Consider the following 22356-nt stretch of genomic DNA (forward strand, 5'->3'; position numbering starts at 1 on the left):
TATAAAAATATTTTTAATGAGATTTATAACCCTAAAATTATTTCCATGTCTTGATTATAAGTAATGATGGTACCTATCATGTTTTTCTCACTAGCTTTCCAGGAGACCAGTTGTGTGATGTTGGCTAGTAATTTAAATTCTATAGGTCATTTTTTTATCTTTAATATAATTTTATAGGCCCAATCTGGCACTAACATTTTTAATTCTAAATATTTACTATGTCATTCACATCTATTTCTGAAAAAGATAGTTTAATTGATCGTAACTTTTGGAATGTTCTATTGCTTTTCCTGCCATCTAATCCCACCTATCTTTCGAGGTTGATATCAGATTGCATGCCTCCATTAAGTCATTCCTCATTATTCCAGCCAATATTCATTCCTCTATACTTTAATTCCTCAGAGTCATATCTTATATTGATTATTTAGCCCTTAAGTATCAATTGTAGAATATGTCCAAGTTCATTGTCTCCTCAATAAATATGTACTCTTTGAAGAGAGTAGATATGAAATTTTAAATATAAAATATATATTACATTGAACTATACAAAATTGCCTTTTTTTTTTTTTTTTTTTTTGAGATACAGTCTCACTCTGTCACCCAGGCTGGAGTGCAGTGGTGCAATCTCAGCTCACTGCTGCAACCTCCACCTCCCAGGTTTAAGCGATTCTCCTGCCTCAGCTTCCTGAGTAGCTGGGACTACAGGTGCCTGCCACCATGCCTGGCTAATTTTTTGTATTTTTAGTAGAGACAGGGTTTCACCATGTTACCCAGGATGGTCTCGATCTCTTGGCCTCATGATCCGCCCACCTCGGCCTCCCAAAGTGCTGGGATTACAGGCATGAGCCACCCCCACCTGGCCAAAATTGCCTTTTTAGAAACAACTAAATATCAACTTTATGTTTCAATCAAATATATAAAATGTATTTAATTAAAACTCTATTGAGCACTTAAAATTTGACATCGTAGTAGACAACTTTATATATAGTGTTTCATTTAAGAGTGAAAACAGCCTAATGAGTTAAATATTGTTGTCTCTATTTTACAAACAAGGGAACTGAGCCTAAAATGGCTTAAATAATGTGCCAAGGTCATACAGTTGACAATATGCAGAACCAGGAGTAAAACTGAGATCTCCTCTCTAATTCCAGAGTTCTTGCTTCTTCCTCAAATTTTGTAGAACACAGCACAGCAAAAGCAAATATTGGTTTCTAATTTATAATAGAGAATCCCAATTGTGAAAAAACCTCTGAAAGTTATGTTTTTCTGTAATATTGTATTTAGCCATTTACAAAATAAGTTGGCAGCTCTGCAAGTATTAATACTAATATAGAATATACCACTGATATTCTGTTGAGTGAAGAAAGTTGTTGAAGAACAAAATTACAATATTATTCCACTTACAGGTTTAGAAAAAATCTACAAAGATGCCTTCATAGTAATATGAAAAATATATAATTAAATATTTATGTTTATGAAAATAGTATTTGGAAGCATGTATGAAGCATACAGCAAATGATCTTTGAAAACTTAGAGTGAGAACAGGAAGTAAAAGCTAGGGAGCTTCCTAATGTTACTTTTCATTCTTCTGAATTGTTCGCATCTTTTCCAACACTTATTTTATTTTGTCTAACAGGAAAAAGGGGAAGAGTCCTTTCCCACAATTGTTCATTTTAATGATAAACTACCTTCCCAATTAGAAACATCTCCTTATGGTTCATTTAAGCACCTTGTGTTGTAAAATGTACATGTTCTATCGCTGCTCACAGCATAGAAAACTATACCTGTCCATGTGAGAACTGATACTTAATTACCACTCTGTCTTTCTTCATATTCCCTATTTCTCATTCCCATTGTGATCATTGTAGTTTCCCACTGAACAAACAACAGAAACTCTGCAGTGACTTATAAAGGGCAAGCTGCAAGAGGCAGATGGAATCCCACTGAGCCCTCCCCTAGCAGCAAGATTACCTTTACTACAGAGTGGGCATTAATCCACCCTAGAGTTTTAAAGGATAACTCCTCCTAACTTGATTTTCTTGTCTTTTAATAAGTCTTTTCATCTCTTAACATTTTTATGACACTTCTATTTAAGGCATCAACCATTTTGTGGCTTAGCAAAGCATACCAGTATGTTGCTCCATAAAGGTAAGTAGGATCCATAATGATGCTCCTGAGAATTGTCTCCCACACTATCTAGAGATGTTCAGTCCACTATCATACTAAATGAAATTTTGCCAATTAGGAATAAATAGCTGCTAAGGGACTTCTTATAGAATGAAAATGACTTTGGAGACCTGTAAATTCTCAGACATTTATGTAAATCACTTTACTCAGATAAATATTCTCCAAAGACTCAGCTGGCCAAATAGTTGTTTAGGTCAAATGCCTTAGCAACAGGTGACAGATTCAAAGGCTTATGATTGACTGAGGGTGTGCTTCTCCAGAAAACCCTACAAAGGAGGGAGGGAAGCAGATTAAGCAAGAAAGGATGTGGTTTCAAGTAAACCAGGGCCAGATCCAGCTCTGTCCTACCTTAAGATGTAAGAGTTTGTGTCCTTTATCAGGAAGCATTGGCATCAAATGGGGAGGGCATAAATTCTAGGATTCTCTGGGCTAAGGAATAGACAAGTCCCCAGAAAAGGTTGGTGAGTGTTAGCAATTAGTCTCAGCCCTTCAAGCAGCTGAGGGGATGTATATGCTGGCTGAAAAAGTGAGTGGGACTAGGCCATGGCCCAGAACATCTCCCGCCAAAACTCTGATGAAGAACAGAGAAGAACAAAAGAGAGGTAATTGTGAATTCAGGCATTGAAGAATGTGGAAAAGCCAGAGATTGGATTAGACTTTGTTCCCCTCATTAAGAAGTCCCTGAGGGATAATGCAAAAAAAAGGGGGCCAGGAAGTGAAAAGAATTTATAAAGGTTTTGAGGAATTCTAAAACGAAATTTTTGCCCATTTAAAATTAATTTTAAAATATAAACATAGAACTTCATTCTGTCATTGACTAGACTGATTATTTTCCTATTAGAAATTAAAACCTGAGAACACTAAAGAATGAAGTATTATACATCTTCTACCATCTATTTGCAAGCATCACCTTGAAAAGCAATGGAAGGAAACATGTCGGTAGTTAGGATTAACTAGACACACCCACGTTTCTTATGCTCAGAACTCTACCAGAAAGAAGAGAACAGACCTATGATTTAGTGTCATCACATGCGTGGATGCTCATTGAACCCTCCTTGATTAATGTGACACCGTAAAGCACCACCTGGAATGATACCTCAGCCCACTAAAACCTCCTGAAAAATATCTTTCCCAGAAATATATTCACTCTTTTCAGACGCTGCAGCTTTCAGAGCGGTGTCAACTTATAATAGCTTCTTGACATTAATTACTGTGCCATCCCATAAGTTTAGCTCTCTGAAAAGCAGCCTGAAGCTGTCAGGGAGGGTCACATATTTTAATATCCACTTACCTTGACACCAGAGTAATTTGGAAGATGCTCACTTTCAGCTCCACAATCCCTTTCCAACATTCGGAGGAAAGTGACCCACCATCCAATCCGCAAATCTTGATTAATTCCTTCCACTTAGCATGTCCCAATTTCTGCCAAGGTATGTGGTCTGTAGATTGACAGTCTCGTTAAGAGCTTATTCAAGTGCTTGATTATACAGCTTTGGAAGTTTCTTGAGCCCTGAGAGTAGACTCTCCCTCCCTTCCCATTGCAGCACAATACCATGTCTAATACCCAGAGGCAAAAAGGCAAAGAGGCCTCAGATCTAAAACAGTCAGTGCTTAGGCCCCCGGCGCACAAGTTCTAGAAACAGCAGTTTCTGTCCTTAGGTTTTCTCTTCAGTGGCACCCAGGTGTCTGCCCAGTGTTGCTCCTCTAATAGGGTTTCTGAGAATTCAGGTAAAAGAAGAGAACTCCAAAGATAGGCACATGAAGGGATTGTGCACTCAAAATCTTTACCTGGAATCACTCTCCAAGGATGTAACTATTAGTGAAAGCTAAAGATCAAAGATAGAGAATAAAAGTAACTCAACTGGTTATGAATTTCTGAATAGGGTAAATGATGGCAGAAACCTCTAAGAGAAGCATTATATTCTTATTTAAAAGACATACCCTGTATCCCACTGACAAATTTCCTCTTCAACAGAAGCTAGAAAATGACAGCAATAATTTGATTCTGCTAAAATAAACGTTCAGTCTCCTTCCTAAGTAGTTCGGGCCCCCGGCATTTCTTTTAGGCCAGTTCATTGGAACTTAAAAAGTACTTTTCTAGTGAAACCATGTCAGTATGGGAGTTAAGGTCTTCACAACTTGTCATCATCAATTTAACCATATCATTTCGAATGTTATCATGTGTTTGAGACATGAGCTTTAATCTCAATAATAAATTATTACCCACATTTTCAGATTAAAAAAATAAAACTGAGGCATAAAGTCATATAGTAATTTGCCCAAAGTCACACAGTTAAAAAATAATAATAATAAACAGGCTAAGCCAGCATCGAAATGAAGGTTTGCCTGACCCCATAGCAAAACACATTCATAACCACTGTGTTCTACTTTCTCTTAGAATTACTACGGAGAAAACTCTTCTACCAAAAGGAGTAGGGTGTCCTCCACATGCAGTAATGTTTAATGAGAAATGAATTAGGTTTCCAAATCAAAAAATGCCCAAGCTACATTTTTTTTCTCTAAGGCCATCCCTAAAGCGAGAATAAAACCTCTTTTCCAAATTCTTCACAGCCCAACCCATCCTAGTCTCAGTTCAGTAACTACCTCTTTCTAGAAGCTTTCCCTATCTCCTTGCCCATCAGACCAGGTTAGAGGATACAGCTTCACGCTCCACAGCTTTCTGGATTTACCTCTGTTGCTACACTCACTTCACTGTATTGTAAGATCTCTGCCCTTTCTATCTCTTCATTGGACTGTGTGCTTCCTGCTGGCAGGAACTGTATGTTCTTCCTTTGATTCCCAGGGACCAATGCTTAGTAATGTACCAGCTGTAATTGACTGGTCTGAGCAAGGGTAAAGGCTGCAGGGAGATGGAGAAAGGGGTTGTAGGGATACGGGGATCCCTTGGAAAGATTCTCCCCTAGGGATCCTGTTTGGTCCTAGGTAGGCAGGACCCTCCTTTTCTGCTCAACCTTACAGATCATCTACAGCATTCTACCAATATCCCTATATTCTTATGGAGAATGGTCATTGCAGCAGAGAAAGCGAGAACAGGAGATAGCACACTGTCTCTTAAATATCTTTGTTTCATTTGTTAGCATTCATTAAATAACCTGGTCTAGGCACAAATGGAACTGAGGAGTCCAGTTTTCCCACGTGCGCAAGAGGACAGAAGAACTGGAAATGGGTAAGCACTAACAAACAACATGATGCAGAACTTTTTTGCTTTGTACCTTTGATTATGCAACCAAATCTTTAGATTATTTTTCAGAAAGGTAGGTGGCCACTGACTGAAGAAAGATTCATTGATTATTTAAAGGAAAACTTGAAAGCAGTATCCACTTCTCTTTTTTCTTGAATAAACCACTATCATGAGCATTTCTTCATAGGAATAAGAAGCACCTTGAGTTGAAGAGGCAAAGGTTGAAACTGATCTCTGATTAGCACATTGGGTGAGAAAACAGCAAGTGTTGTGGAAAAATGAAATGCCTGAAGCCATCTGGCTAGGACAGCCGCTTTAATAAAAAGCACAAAAATTATACCTGGGCCAGTCTCACATAGCAGGTTAGCATCCACGAAGCTTTTTTTTAAGGGAAGAGTAGGTATTCTTTTTTGATTGTAGTAAAATATAACATGAAAGTTACCATTTTGACCATTTTAACATGTATACTCTATAACATTAAATACATTCACAATGTTGTGCAATCATCACTGCTATCTAGTTCCAGAATTTTTTTTATCCCCCCAAATGGAAATGCTCTACCCATTAAGCAATCTCTGTCCACTTCCCCTTCCCTACTCCCTGGAAACCACTAATCTGCTTTCTATTTCTGTGAATTTGCCTAGTCTGGATATTTCATATAAATTGGACCACACAATATGTGCCGTTTTGTTTCCGACTTCTTTAGCATGTTTTCAAGGTCCATCTATGTTGTACCATGTATCAGTACTTCATTCTTTTCATGAGTAGATAATATTTCACTGTATAAATATACTATGTTTTCTTTCTTTATCAGTTGGTGAATTAGAGTCTTTCCATTTTTGTAGCTACTATGAGTACTGTTGCTGTACACTTTCATATACAAGTTTTCACCCGAACACTCATTTCCAATAATTTTGGATATATACCTAGAAGTGGAATTGCTGGGTCATAAGATAATTCTGTGTTAACTTGAGCAACCCTACAAAGCTTTTTAACATACTTATTATATTTAATCTTCTCAACATCCCTGAGCTATGCATTATTATCCCCATTTTAGAGATAGGGCTCAACATTCAGAATATTGCCAAGCTAAACCTTGATTCACCATTCTACAGTAAAGATTTTACATGACCACAGTGAAAACCCAACTGAGACACTTATTTCTGCATATATTTCTCCACCCCTCCCCCACCATCTTAAACATAAAATAAATCTTAAAATAGAACATTCCATAATAGTGATAGAGGACAATACTGCAGACTCTAGGATAAAGGAAACTCTGTGGACCCTTCCTAGCTTCTCCATTCTTGTGTATGCTTCATTAATTCAATATTTAGGTCATTGGTTTCATTATCTTGAGGGAATTAGCACTGTAAGAATGAAAAATAAAACAAAAACTAGACCTGTTTCATATTTTCATATATGGAAATGACTCATTGTCCCAAGACATCAGAGGTAGTGGTGTGCAAGAAAGTAATAAATGCAAAGAAATGGGAGATGGACATCTCAGCTCAAAATCTCCTTAAGCAACTTCAGCAAAGTCTCAGGATACAAAATTAATGTGCAAAAATCACAAGTATTCCTATACACCAATAATAGACAAACAGAGAGCCAAATCATGAGTGAACTCCCATTCACAATTACTACAAAGAGAATAAAATACCTAGGAATCCAATTTACAAGGGATGTGAAGGACCTCCTTAAGGAGAACTACAAACCACTGCTCGATGAAATAAAAGAGGACCCAAACAAATGGAAGAACATTCCATGCTCATGGATAGGAAGAATCAATATCATGAAAATGGCCATACTGCCCAAAGTAATTTGTAGATTCAATGCCACCCCCATCAAGCTACCACTGACTTTCTTCACAGAATTGGAAAAAACTGTGCTAAATTTCATATGGAACCAAAAAAGAGCCTGCATAGCCAAGACAATCCTAAACAAAAAGAGCAAAGCTGGAGGCATCATGCTACCTGACTTTAAACTACACTACAAGGCTACAGTAACCAAAACAGCATGGTACTGGCACCAAAACAGATACATAGACCAATGGAACAGAACAGAGGCCTCAGAAATAACACCACACATCTACAACTGCCTGATCTTTGACAGACCAGATAAAAACAAGCAATGGGGAAAGGATTCCCTATTTTATAAATGGTGCTGGGAAAACTGGCTAGCCATATGTAGAAAGCTGAAACTGGATCCCTTCCTTACACTGTATACAAAAATTAACTCAAGATGGATTAAAGACTTAGATGTAAGACCTAACACCATAAAAACCCTACAAGAAAACCTAGGTGGCCAGGTGCAGTGGCTCACACCTGTAATCCCAGCACTTTGGGAGGCCGAGGCAGGCAGATCACGAGGTCAGGAGATCAAGACCATTCTGGCTAACACGGTGAAACCGCGTCTCACTAAAAATACAAAAAATTAGCCGGGCGTGGTGGCAGGCACCTGTAGTCCCAGCTACTCCAGAGGCTGAGGCAGGAGAATGGCGTGAACCCGGGAGGTGGAGCTTGCAGTGAGCTGAGATCGCGCCACTGCACTCCAGCCTGGGCAACAGAGCGAGACTCCATCTCAAAAAAAAAGGAAAAAAAGAAAACCTAGGCAATATCATTCAGGACATAGGCATGGGAAAAGACTGCATGACTAAAACACCAAAAGCAATGGCAACGAAAGCCAAAATAGACAATTGGGGTCTAATTAAACTAAAAAGCTTCTGCACAGAAAAAAAACTATCATCAAATTGAACAGGCAACCTACACAATGGGAGAAAATCTTTGCAATCTACCCATCTAACAAAGGGCTAATATTCATAATGTACAAAGAACTTAAACAAATCTACAAGAAAAAAACAACCCCATCAAAAAGTGGGCAAAAGATATGAACAGACACTTCTCAAAAGAAGACATTTATGCAGCCAACAGACATATGAAAAAATGCTCATCATCACTGGTCATTAGAGAAATGCAAATCAAAACCACAATGAGATACCATCTCACACCAGTTAGAATGGTGATCATCAAAAAGTCAGGAAACAACAGATGCTGGAGAAGATGTGGAGAAATAGGAACACTTTTACACTGTTGGTGGAAGTGTAAATTATTTCAACCATTGTGGAAGACAGTGTGGCAATTTATCAAGGATCTAGAACTAGAAATACCATTTGACCCAGCCATCCCATACTGGGTATATAGCCAAAGGGATATAAATCATGCTACTATAAAGACACATGCACACGTATGTTTATCGTGGCACCATTCACAGTAGCAAAGACTTGGAACCAACCCAAATGTCCATCAGTGATAGACTGGATTAAGAAAATGTGGCACATATACACCATGGAATACTATGCAGCCATAAAAAAGGATAAGTTCATGTCCTTTGCAGGGGCATGGATGAAGCTGGAAACCACCATTCTCAGCAAACTAACACAGGAACAGAAAACCAAACACCACATGTTCTCACTCATAGGTGGGGGTTGAACAAAAAGAACACATGGACACAGGGAGGGGAACATCACACACTGGGGCCGTCGGGGGGTGTGGGGCTTGGGAAGGGATAGCATTAGGAGAAACACCTAATGTAAATGACAAGTTGATGGGTGCAGCAAGCCAACATGGCACATGTATACCTATGTAACAAACCTGCACATTGTGCACATGTACCCTAGAATGTAAAGTATAATAAAAAATAATAATAATAATAAAAGGAGAGGAAAGCACAAAATATATAAAATACACAGAATTATATATAGAATTAATGGGAAAAAAAAGAAATGGGCGAGGGAGGGCATAAGTGGAGATATGGAAGACATAGACAAAAGAATTTCACCTCCTGCCTTGCTGCAACACACATTCTGTGGCTAAAAGTCCTAAGAAACTTTGAAAAGCTGGTGTTTTAACTTTTGGATAGTTTTTGATCCAGCTCAAAGCTATCCATTTCTGGAAATTGGCTCCTTCTTCCACAGGATAAGAGTGGTGGGTGGGGAGATCTAGAAGCCAGGTTTGCACTTTGGGAGCCTGACCATTGGTCTCAGTTGACTGAAACTGAAGCAGGCTCGGCCAATCAGATTCTTTTGCCTAGAAACTTGGAATTCAAATTCAAATTCAGAAAGTAGTTCATCTCTGCATGTAGTTAATACCATAATGTGAAAACAGAGCTATGGAGTAGCCACACAGTGCTTTATAGATGAATGAGTAACTTAAAAGATGAGCAGAAGGGATGGAACTGGAGGTCATTATGTTAACTGAGATAAGTCAGGCACAGAAAGATAAACTTCACATGTTCTCACTTATTTGTGGGAGTGAAAAATCAAAAGCAACTGAACTCATGGAGATAGAGAATAGAAGGATGTTTATCAGAGGCTGGGAAGGGTGGGGGCATTGTGTGGGGGAAGTGGGAATAGTAAATGGGTACAAAAAAAATAGAAGGGAACAAGATCTAGTATTTGCACAACAAGGTGACTATAGTCAAGTATAATTTAATTGTACATTTCAAAATAAAACAGTATAATTGGACTGTTTGTCACATAAAAGATAAATAGGGTATCTAAATACCCTATTTTCTATGATGTGATTATTACACATTTTATGCCTGTATCAAAGTATCTCATGTACCCTGTAATTATATACATCTATTATGTACCCATAAAAATTAAAAAGATTTTTTAAAAATAACGAGGTGGGTGGATCACAAAGTCAGGAGTTCAAGACCAGGCTGGCCAAGATGGTGAAACCCCATCTCTAGTAAAAATACAAAAATTAGTCGGGGTTGGTGACAGGTGCTTGTAATCCCAGCTACTCAGGAGGCTGAGGCAGAGAATTGCTTGAACCTGGGAGGCAGAGGTTGCAGTGAGCCGAGATCATGCCACTGCACTCCAGCCTGGATGACAGAGCGAGACTCCGTCTCAAAAAATACTAAAAATTAAAAAAATAAAATAAAATAAGGAGGGGGTTACACAGAGAGAGAGAGGGGAAAATGAAGCTGCGGCACCAAAACAAAAAGTGGAAAAGGGGAAGCGGGGAGAGAGGAAGTCAGCGTTTGCCTATTCCAGTCCAGTCCCTTCCTGGAAACCTAGGATTCTGTGTGAACCCCTCTATCCTTGTCATAAATTCCATTTGGCTTAAGCTATCTGGCAGACTGACCATCTGTTCACTAAGCCATTTCCTTGAGCACACAGCCAAACTACACTCCCAGCCTCTTAATACAATTAGCTGTGGCCATGTGGCCAGGCCCTGACCCATGAGATGAGAGGAAGGGATATTCTCTACATTCAGTCTTGGCAATAAGAACTCTCCCCGTGACTCTCCACAGCAATCTTTCTTCCTGTGCCAGTGAGGTGTCAGCACCCAGAACAATGGCAAAAGCCACACACTGAAGACGTCCGAGCCTCAGTAGTCTAAGTACCTGAAAGAATGCTTGGAGCAGCCATCCCACCCTCACCAAGCAGGTTTTATAAGCTCAAGAAATCCATTTCTCTGTGTTGAGATTTTACAGAGATTTCAAGTTTTATGTGACACAACACCAAGCTTTATCTAAACTGATACAAGGCAGTTTGAGTGGGCTTTTCTTTTGAAACCTGCCATTGAAAAGTCTTAAAACATCACACCTCCAACAGGCATCTCTCCTCATTTCAGTTGCTGCCTGTTGAAAAGGTGGAAGATCTTGGGCCAAACACTTCTCATGCCTGTGTTCTGGGGCCTGCAGAAAAGGGCAGAGGTAAAGGATTCAATCTCCAGAATGTCAAACAAGGCCACCTCACGTGACCTCACATACCCAAATACACTGCCTTTGTTCTGGGAGATATTCTTTGAATGCTTTACCAGGTCTCAGAGTACATCAGCCTCCCTCTCAGAGTCTCCATATGGCTGTGCAAGCTAAAAGCAAAAGCCTTTCATGTGGAAACTTTGTATTTCTATTGAAGTCAGTACTGAAACGTGTTTCCATTCCAAATGATTCCAGCAGATTTCCAAGATGGCCCAATAACACCCTGCTCAATTATTAGAGTTCTAGCAAAGAAGGGGCTAACCAAAGAAAATAGTTTTACCAAAGAGCTATATTGACAGCCTCTGTGCTTGCGAGTATTCTGGAAAACACCAGGCACGAAAAGGATAGTTCTATATGTGTAATATGCAAATTTTGTATTTTCCCCATTTAAGCAGTAACTCCTGCCTAAGACCAAATGGAATGGAGTTGCAAGTGCTGTTAACAGAGAGAACCTGTAAGGCAGATCTTGACATTATTTTACAAACTTAATTGGGCCGTCTGGTCAATAAAATATCTCCAGGAAAGATCTTAAAGTGCAATGGTGCTCATTACAAGCCCAAATGCTTGTTTTAAATAGCATGTAGTTTTTACAGTATTTAAACTAATGATCTTCATTGTCTATAACATGTGTAAGATTGAAGGTGTGACAGTGGTTATATTCAGGGCAAACAACAAAGATACCTTACCTTGAAGCTATTTTATCAATCTTTCAAGAGGAAAAAGCCTCCAAAATGTGGGGAAATACTGGAGCCACTGTTTTGAATGTGTTTTTTCAGCAGTTATGCCAAGGGCTTGGGGGATCCTGAGCACATAAAACCAACCACCATCCAACCCAACTGCACTCTTTCCCAAACCCTTCTGATGCCTCCCTTTACCATTTTGCTCTTGCCTCTAAAACAAATCCCACACAATTTGATAAGCTAAGTATGTGAAAGATCACAAAACCAAAATAGAATGTGGCCTTTGCATTCCTGAGAGACCTCATCCATGTCCTCAGAGACATGTGGTGGTGGGAGGGGGTGAAATTTCCTCAGCACCTCTTCTCATATTTCAATATCGTGATCCACAAAAGGGCAGTGATGATATGGAAGAATTTTCAGCAGGACCGTACTGTTTCCTACTTGAATATTGCATACTAAAAGACACAAATAATCTTATCTAATTTTTATAAGGAGAGTACAAAATGAAAACTACAATTCCTGCTTTACAGATTTGAAGAGTAGACTAGAAGAGGATGTAGAGGTCAACTAGCCTAGAGAGAGACTTCTGATTTTAAGAACAGCGTTCATTTTGTGCTCCACATACTCTTTCCAATGTGAAGACCTATTGATCTAATATCACTTTTTCCTTCAGGACTATTAAACTAAGTCTAGGAGAATGTCATTGACACTCATTATAGCCTTATAGACAAAGGAGAAATATCTGGATAGATACTAAGGATACACATAGTACAATTTACAGCTGATTCTACAGCCCAATCCAAAGATTACTGATTGAGTAATCAGCTGAGGTTGACCAAAAGAATGACTGCTAGTAACAGTCAGGCTCACTCTCTGACAAAGTTCTGACTCACACTTATCAATTGCTTGTGATTAACACATAAGATGTACACTCATCAAATTTGTTGTAAACAAAACAGTGTTGATGGTTAATAGTTAGGTGGCAAAACCACAGCAAAGACAGCATTCAAATTCACTGCCCATGTACAATGTTCTTACAAACTGGAACAGGCTCTAGGGTTCTCTGTACCTGCTGCTGGTTGGAGCAAGAGGAGATAATTGATTCAAATTGTGTCAATCAACTTCCCATACTTGGAACTGATAATTTGGGTAGAAATCATAGTTGGCTAGCCAAGTGCCCTGGTCTAAAAGTAACATAAACCCAGAGACTGCAAGCACAGAGTAGGAGTATCCCTGATTAGGCAGGAGAAAGTAAGATGGAAGGTATATTCTATTAAGAAAGGAAAATGTGAAGCAAACTATCAGAGAAGGGTGGATAAGAGGTCATATGACCCCAGACTAAGGGAAATGAGAAGGTCATCGTGCCTGAAGACTGACATTTCTCAGGTCCAGTCTCTCACCAGCCTCAGCTGTGATTTCTACCCTTGGATTCTGTAAAACATTCCTCATCCCTGATCATGAGTTGCTTTGTTTGTTTTTTCACCTAAACTGGATGAAGGGTTTCTGTTCCTTATAAGCAAACAACCAAAGGATTAACCAAATTTATGAATATATTAAAATCCTGCTTCCCCTGAAGGAGTGAACAAGATGGAAGAGGCTAGTTGCCTACACTCTTCAGAACAGCATCCTAGGCGCAGGATTTTCAATCTCTGCCTCCCAGAAGCCTCTCAGAGGAATTAGTCTTGACTCTACCTGGAAGGGTAGATGATTCACCTCTGCAGATCTGTAGCCTTTACTCTCTAGTATTCTGTCCCATCACCTCTAGCTGCTTTTATGTCCCATGTCCTGCAGCTCTTCCTCCTTTCAAGGCATCCCTGGGTTCCACCTCAATTGCCCTCCCTGTACTGCAACCAGGAAACTCACGCAGGAGCAAGCCAGGGCAATCTCAGGACCCACCTCCTTGTTCTTGTCTCTTAATGATCTCTGCTTTTCTGATTGATGTCCCATACCTTGAAAACTATGTTTTGTGTATTATTTTCATTTTTCTATTGTTTTGGATGGAGGGTAAAATTTATCCGTGTTATTCCATCCTTACAGAAAGCAGATGACTTCAAGTGGTTTTTGACCATCTTCTTTAGTAATACAGGCCAAGTGGATTCTCACCACACTTTGGAAGGTGAGAAAAGAGCCACCTATTTTCTTGGGTGTTCAACCAAACAAAGACATCTCATTTTAAAAGTTACAACGTAAAATGGATAGCTCCCCCACAGTGTTTTGTTTGGCTGAATTTCCATAAACAGTTTTATACAGCCACAGCAAGTGATGACAGACAGTGATTATGAGTCAGGTATTTATGGTTTATTCTGGCCCATAACTTCCCAAGATGTGTTTTTTACACTGTTACATACAGAGCAACTCCAATGGAATAATGATCTTAAAATCCCTTCAAAAGAATCCATTTGTAAAATGTGTAATTTCTTCAAGCTTAATTATAATGAGTGTAATTATATTAGTCAGGGTTCTCTAGAGGGACAGAACTAATAGAAATATATATATATATATATATATGAGTTTATTAAGTAGTATTAACTCAAACGATCACAAGGTGCCAAAATAGTCTGTCTAGAAGCTGAGGAGCAAGGAAGCCAGTCTGAGCCCCAAAGCTGAAGAATTTAGAGTCTGATGTTCGAGGACAAGAAGCATCCAGCACAAGAGAAAGATGTAGGCTGGGAGGCTAAGCCAGTCTAGCCTTTTCACATTTTTTTCTGCCTGCTTTATATTTGCTGGCAGCTGATTAGATTGTGGCCACCCAGACTAACAGTGTGTCTGCCTTTCCCAGCCCACTGACTCAAATGTTAATCTCCTTTGGCAACACCCTCACAGACACACCCAGGATCAATACTTTGCATCCTTCAATCCAATCCAGTTGTCACTCAATATTAACCATCACAAGTCTGACCCTTGTCAACTTGAACCCATACACACCTCCTGAGATCATACATAATCTTCAAATAAAGACAATAATAAGGTCATAATTACACCTAACATAATACCACTATCCTTTGTACAACCAGAAACACACCAATCCCCAACCCAAATGCTATTACAGAAAGTTAACAATACTAAAATCCTGATATAAAGTCAATAAACCTTATGTCACATGATAAACGGAAAAGAAAATAAAGATATTTTCTAAGTTCAAGTGTATACATGCACAAACATGTTTTTAACAAACAAGGAGGAAATACGACAATTACAGTCCTCGTTTTTGCAACTGGTCATGTGGTCGTAGCTAGTATTGATGACTACCTTCTTCTACTACCCATTTTTTTATTCCCTTTGCCTTCAGCAAGCACCTCAGCAGGTCATGGATTTTTCCCTGATGGAATAACCCAACCCTTCATTCCTGAAGGGTCTGGGTAATTTGTAGTCCTGCCTGGATTGGGCTGTTGTAGTTTCCCATTGACCTCAATCACAGGGCATGGTAATACTAAGAGAGACCCTAATGGATCTCCTGTATTCCATGCATAGTCTTCCTTATCTCCGTTGTAAAGTAGTAGACTGATTTCATCTTCACAGTCCGGGTCAATCATCCCAGCCAACACTGTAACTCCCTTCTTAGCCTATTGACTTAGAAATAGGAGGAACCCAAAGTGTGCAGGTGACAATCTTAACTTCCAGTTCAGTGAAATTGTTGTGTCTCCTGGTGGCAGCGTTCCTCCCTCTGGAACTAAGACGTCTAGGCCAGCAGAACGTAATGTCGTGGGAAAAGGTAGCAAAAATTTTGCTAGTGGATCACTGGGGGTGATGGTGAGTGGTGCCACTTCCACTTCTACTCCTTGATTCCTGGACCTGTGAATCTTGGCTATGGGAGAAGCAGTACCATATATTGGATGCTGATGCAGAGCATACACAGCCTTCTGGAGAACTTTGCCCCAACCCTGCAAAGTATTGTCACCTAGTTGGTTTTGTAATTTTGACTTCAAAAGGCCATTCTACCATTCTATCGATCCAGCTGCTTCAGGATGATGGGAAACATGGTAAGACCAGTGAATCCCATGAACATGATGAGCCCACTGCCACACTTCTTTAGCTGTAAGGTGAGTGTCTTGGTCAGAGGCAATGCTGTGTGGAATACCATGATGGTGGATAAGGCATTCTGTGAGTCCATGGATGGTAGTCTTGGCAGAAGCATTGCGAGCAGGATAGGCAAACCCATATCCAGGGTAAGTGTCTATTTCAGTGAGGACAAGCCGCTGCCCTTTCCATGACTGAGGAGGTCAAATATTATCAACCTGCCGCCAAGTAGCTGGCTGATCACCCCAAGGAATGGTGCCATATTGAGGGCTCAGTGTTGGTTTCTGTTGCTGGCAAATGGGCACTCAGCAGTGGCTGTAGCCATGTCAGCCTTGGTGAGTGGAAGTCCATGTTGCTAAGCCCATGCATAACCTCCATCCCTGTCACCATGGTCACTTTGTTCATGGGCCGATTGAGCGATAACGGGTGGCTGGGGAAAGAAGCTGAGTGGTGTCCATAGAATGGGTCATCCTATCCACTTGGTTATTAAAATCCTCCTCTGCAGAGGTCACCTTTTGGTGAGCACTCACATGGGATACAAATATCTTCACAGTTCTTGACCACTCAGAGAGGTCCATCCACATACCTCCTCCTCACATTTCTTTGTCACCAATTTTCCAATCATGCTTCTTCCAAGTCCCTGACCATCCAGCCAATGGTTATTGATGGTTATTGGCTACAGCCCATGAGTCAGTATATAATCGCACATCTGTCCATTTCTCTTTCCATGCAAAGTGCACAACCAGGTGCACTTCTTGAAGTTCTGCCCACTGGAAAGATTCCTTTTCACCACCGTCCTTCAGGAATTTCCTAGAAAGGGGCTGTGGTGCTGCAGCTATCCACTTTCGGGTAGTGCCTGCATATCATGCAAAACCATCTGTGAACCAGGCCCTAGTCTTCTCTTCCTCTGTCAACTGATCACAGGGAACTCCCCATGAGGACATCTGTACAGGCTGGGGGAGAGAAGGTAGGGTGGCAGGAGTGGAGACCATGGGCATTTGAGCCACTTCCTCATGTAACTTACTTGTGCCTTCAGGACCTGCTAGAGCTTGATCAGGTATATGCCACTTCCACTTGATGATGAAATGCTGCTGTGCACGACCCACTTTGTGGATAGATGGGTCAGAAAGCACGCAGTTCATGGAGGCAGTTCAGGTCACGTGGTGACTTGATGACCCATAGTCAAACGTTCAGTTTCCACCAAAGCCCAGTAACAGGCCAAGAGGTATCTCTCAAAAGGACAGTAGTTATCTGCAGAAGATGGCAGGGCCTTGCTCCAAAATCCTAGAGGACTCCATTGTGATTCACCTATGGGGGCCTGCCAAAGGCTTCAAACAGTATCCCCATTTACCACTGACACCTCAAGCACCATTGAATCTGCTGGGTCATATGGCCCAAGTGGCAGGGCAGCTTGGACAGCAGCCTGGATCTGTTGCAGATCCTTCTCCTGTTCTGGACCCCACTCTCGGTACCAAAATCTGTATTATTCAGGGTTCTCTAGAGGGACAGAACTAATGGAATATATAGATAGATATATGGGAGTTTATTAAGTAGTATTAACTCAAACGATCACAAGATCCCACAATTGGCCATCTGCAAGCTGAAGAGCAAGGAAGCAAGTCCAAGTCCCAAAGCTGAAAACCTTGAAGTCCGATGTTCAAGGGGAGGAAGCATCAGCACAGGAGAAACATGTAGGCTGGGAGGCTAGGCCAGTCCAGCCTTTTCACATTTTTCTGCCTGTTTTATATTCTGGCCACACTGGAAGCTGATTAGATGGTGCCTACCCAGATTAAGGGTGGGTCTACCTTTCTCAGTCTGCTCACTGAAATGCCTCCTTTGGCAACACCCTCACAGACACACCCAGGATCACTACTTTGCATCCTTCAATCCAATCCAGTTGACACTCAGTATTAACCATCACAGTGATGAAAGGTGAATCATAAATTGGGGCCACAGCAAGGCACAGGAAAGGGCATGTGTTTCAGGCCTAAGTTTGAATCCTGGCTTCTTTGTTTATTGGCTATGTCAACTCAGGCAACTTTCTTAATCTCCCTGAACTGCCAAGAATTCAAGCTGTGTTCAAATAGGAGAAATAGGTTCATGATTAACTAGTAAGGTGTGATAACATAATAGGATGCATTGTTTCCCATATAATAACATGTAATAATATAAGGTAATTAAGATATAAAATAATTATAATGAATTTTAATATATTATAAGAATTAGCATTACTATATGGGTACAATGGGTTCTCATCACAGAGACTACAGCAGTCTGAAATCTGCGTGAACATGGACATTCTAGACCTTCTAGCATAATAAACAAGTTTACATAAGAAACAATTCCCTGTGCACTGCAGTTTGTAGGTTCAAACTTAGAGGTGACCCAAAGGTACTCCATCAATTTCAATACTTCTCTATTTTAATGATGAACAAATGAAACATTAGTAGATACAATTGTAAGAGGAAAGTTACTTATCACTACCACTAAACTCCTTGTACTTGAGTAGAGATTCCTAAAGCCTTTTTCTCTAACTAGATTGTGTTTTCTTTGCTGACTTTCTCATCTGTAGAATGGGGACAATAGAGGGACAACATGCCACCATTACAAGAATTGAACAAGCACCGAGCATGACACTCTACAAATCCGAACTATAGCTAATTTTATACACACAGAGGCATTCATGTGTTTTGTATCACAGCAGGTTCAGAGTTTACAAGCTCTCAGCAGAATTATCACAATTATAGACCAATTGAATTGCTTTGAATAAAATAAAAACCACAGATTAAATATGGTGCCTTCAAAGATGGTATACCATGTTGTTAGTCTCTTAATTAAAATTGTAGAGTAATATTTGCCTATTTATAGTGAGAACATTTTTGGGAGTTGTCATGTAATGTTTGTATCCCTCCAAAATGCAATGTTGGAACCCTAACCCCAATGTGGTGGTATGTGAAGGTGGGGTCCCCAGGATGGGATGAGTGTTTTACAAGAAGAGGTAGAGACACCAGAGCTCTCTCACTCTTTCCACTATGTGAAGACACAGACAGAAGGTGGCCATCTGTAAGCTAGGAAGAAAGTCTTCACCAAGAACCCTGATCTCAAACTTCCAGCCACCAGAACTCTGAGAAAATAAATGTCATTTGTTGAAGCCACCTAGCCTACAGTATTTTGTTATAGCAGCCTGAGGAGACTAGCACAGAAGCCATTGTAAACATATTGGGTTAATATTGGTTATTCTACTTACCAACTCAAGTCTGAAAAAGTAAAAACAAAAATAAAAAAAAAGGGACCAAAAATTATCAAGAATTCTGAAATTCTGAATTCTTCAGGTACAATTACAGGTAAAGTTACAATTCCCCAATAGGAGTCTAAGTTTCTTGAGAGTAAGGACTATTTATTGTTTATTATTGTCTATACTTACCATTTCTAATATAAGTAAATGTGTGGTAAAGTGACCAGATTCTGGATACCTCCCTCTTTTCTCCATCTTTTTTTTTTTTTTTTTTTTTTTAAGATGAGATCTCACTATGTTGCCCAGGCTGGTCTCAAACTCCTGAGCTCAAGCTATCCTCCTGCCTTGGCTTCCCAAAGTGTGTTCTCCATCTTTAAATAGCATATGTAAGTAGAAAAAGAAACACATTAATTACCTAAATAGACACATCTATATTTAAAACTGGATTTGTAGTAATAGAAGTTGCTATTCCAGAAATTTGCTCTTTGGCACATCAAATTATTTTCCATTCTTCTTGATGCATTGATCACTCTCTTTTTCTTTTTCTTTTTCTTTTTTTTTGAGATGGATTCTCCCTCTGACTCCCAGGCTGGAGTGCAGTGGTACGATCTTGGCTCACTGCAACCTCCACCTCCTGGGTTCAAGCGATTCTCCTGTCTCAGCCTCCTGAGTAGCTAGGACTACAGGCGTGTGCCACTACACGCAGCTTATTTTTTGTATGTTTAGTAGAGAAGGGGTTTCATCTTGTTGTCCAGTCTGGCCTCGAACTCCTGACCTCAAGCAATCGGCCCACCTCAGCCTCCCAAAGTACTGGAATTACAGGCATGAGTCACCATGCCTGGCCTGATTATTTTGATTCTACTTTACCTATCCATACCTTCCCATCCTTTGATGCACTGTTCATTCAGGAAGTTTTCCATATGTTCTCCAGCCCTTACTGATCTGCCTCACATGCAGATTTAGAAAACACCTGTGTTCTGCTACACAGTTAAGAAGTTTTTCCATTCATCTATTGATGCACACTTAGGTTTATTCCATATCTTGGCTACTGTGCATACAATAATCATATTGGTGCAGATAACTCTTCAACATACTGATCTCCTTTTCTTTAAATATATACCCGGTGGTGGGACTGCCACATCATTTTGTAATTATATTTTCAGTGTTTTGAGGAACCTCTGCACCATTCTCCACAGTAGCTGTACTAATTTACATTCCCACCAATAGCATATAAGAGTTCCCCTTTCCCTGTATCCTCACCAGCATTTATTTTTTACCTTTTTGACAATAGCTATTCTGAGGTAAATTGATAAAGAAAATGTGGTACATGCATACAATGGAATACTGCTCAGCTGTAAAAAAGAATGAAATTTTGTTGTTTGTAGCAACATAGATGAACCTGAAGAACATCATGTTAAGTGAAATAAGCCAGGCACAAAAAGATAAATACCACACATGCTCTTATATATATGTAGAAGCTAAAAAAGTTGATCTTATAGAAGTAGAGGGTAGAATAGTGGTTACCAGAGGTTGGACAGGATAGTGGAGAGGAGGAATAGGGACAGGTAAATTAAGGGATACAAAATCATAGCTAGATAGGAGAAATAAACTCCAGCATTCTATACCACTGTGCGGTGACTGTGGCTAACAGCAATGCATTGTATATTTTCAATTAGTCAGAAGAGGATTTTGAATATTCCCAAAACAAAAAAGTGATAAATATTTGAAGTGACAGATATGTTCATTACCCTGATTTGATCCTTACACATTGTGTAAATGTTTCAAAATATCACTCTGTACCCCATCAATATGTGCAATTATATGTGCAATAGTCTGGTCTCACATTGCTATAAAGAACAACCTGAGACTGGATAATTTATAAAGAAAAGAGGTTTAATTTACTCACAGTTCTGAGGGCTGTACAGGAAGCATGACTAGGGAAGCCTCAGGAAACTTACAATCATGGCAGAAGGCGAAGAGGAAGCAGACACGTCTTACATGGCCAGAGAAGGAAGAGAGCGAAAAGGGAGGTGTTACACACTTTTAAATAACCAGATCTCATGAGAACTCACTCACTATCATGAGAACAGCAAGGGGGAAATGCGCCCCCATGATCCAATCACCTCTCACCAGGCTCCCCTCCAACATTGGGGATTATAATTGACAGGAGATTTGGGTGGGGATATAAATCCAAACTGTAACAATGTGTCAATTAAAAATAATTTTTTAAAAAGTTTTTTTTACTCAGTCGTTATTTCTGACATCTCAAAGTAGCTCTCCTACAGAGGAAAAAACACTAGAATTCAAATGTTAAACCCTGGGTTCAAACTCTGGTCTCATTAGTTACACAGGCTATGGCCATTTGTTACTTAACATTTCTGTAACTCAATTTCCTCATAAGTAAAACAAGAATCATGTCTTAAAATTCCATGTTTTCTCACAGAGCCTGGAAAATGTTTTGTCAATTTTTCTTTGGTTTGATTGATTCATTGAGTGATTGATAAAATTATTACTGATAGTAGAAATTTTGCAGACCTCACAAAATTCTCCAGATATAAAGCTATAAAGCTGATAGCCCATAGTATTTTCTCTTTTTTTTTTTTCTTTTTTGAGATGGAGTCTCACTCTGTTGCCCAGGCTGAAGGGCAGTGACATGATCTCGGCTCACTGCAACCTCCGCCTCCCAGGCTCAAGTGATTCTCCTACCTCAGCCTCCCAGGTAGCTGGGATTACAGGTGCATGTCACCATGCCCAGCTAATTTTTGTATTTTTAGTAGAAATAAGGTTTCACTGTGTTGGGCAGGAGGGTCTCAAATTCCTGGCCTCAAATTATCTACCCACCTCAGCCTCCCAAAGTGCTAGGATTACAGGTGTGAGCCACTGTACCCAGCCCCATCATATTTTCTTTATGTGGCTGGTGTTCTTGTATTATCACTCAGATACAGAATTGCTTGCCCTGATGCTTGTGGACATCAGGAGTGCTACACATGCCCTGAGATGGTACAAAAAGATTATTTGTGTAAATCCCATTTGTCTTTCAAGGGAAGAAGAGATGGCCAAAATTGTTGAGAACCACCGTTCTTCTGGCATCTTGACAACAGAAGTGAGCTTGTAGAAGAGGAGGAAAATAAGCAATTCAAGGTGCTGAAAGGTGAGCAGTAGAGACAAGACTGCTGGTCAAAGCAAGAGTGGGTTGGGTGCTAGTCTAGCTGTGGTCTGCCCTAACTGGTTTTAGAACTCTGTCTAATTGATCTAAGCAG

The 22356-nt window shown here is 39.9% G+C and overlaps 1 pseudogene; it reads right to left on the reverse strand.

Annotated features, from left to right (window-relative positions):
* Positions 1-15037: 15037 nt before the first annotated feature.
* On the reverse strand, positions 15038-19971 carry LOC107987022 (uncharacterized; annotated as a pseudogene).
* Between the last annotated feature and the right edge of the window lie 2385 nt (positions 19972-22356).

This window comes from Homo sapiens, chromosome 9 (assembly GCF_000001405.40).
Source record: "Homo sapiens chromosome 9, GRCh38.p14 Primary Assembly".
In the NCBI taxonomy this organism is placed as follows: domain Eukaryota; kingdom Metazoa; phylum Chordata; class Mammalia; order Primates; family Hominidae; genus Homo; species Homo sapiens.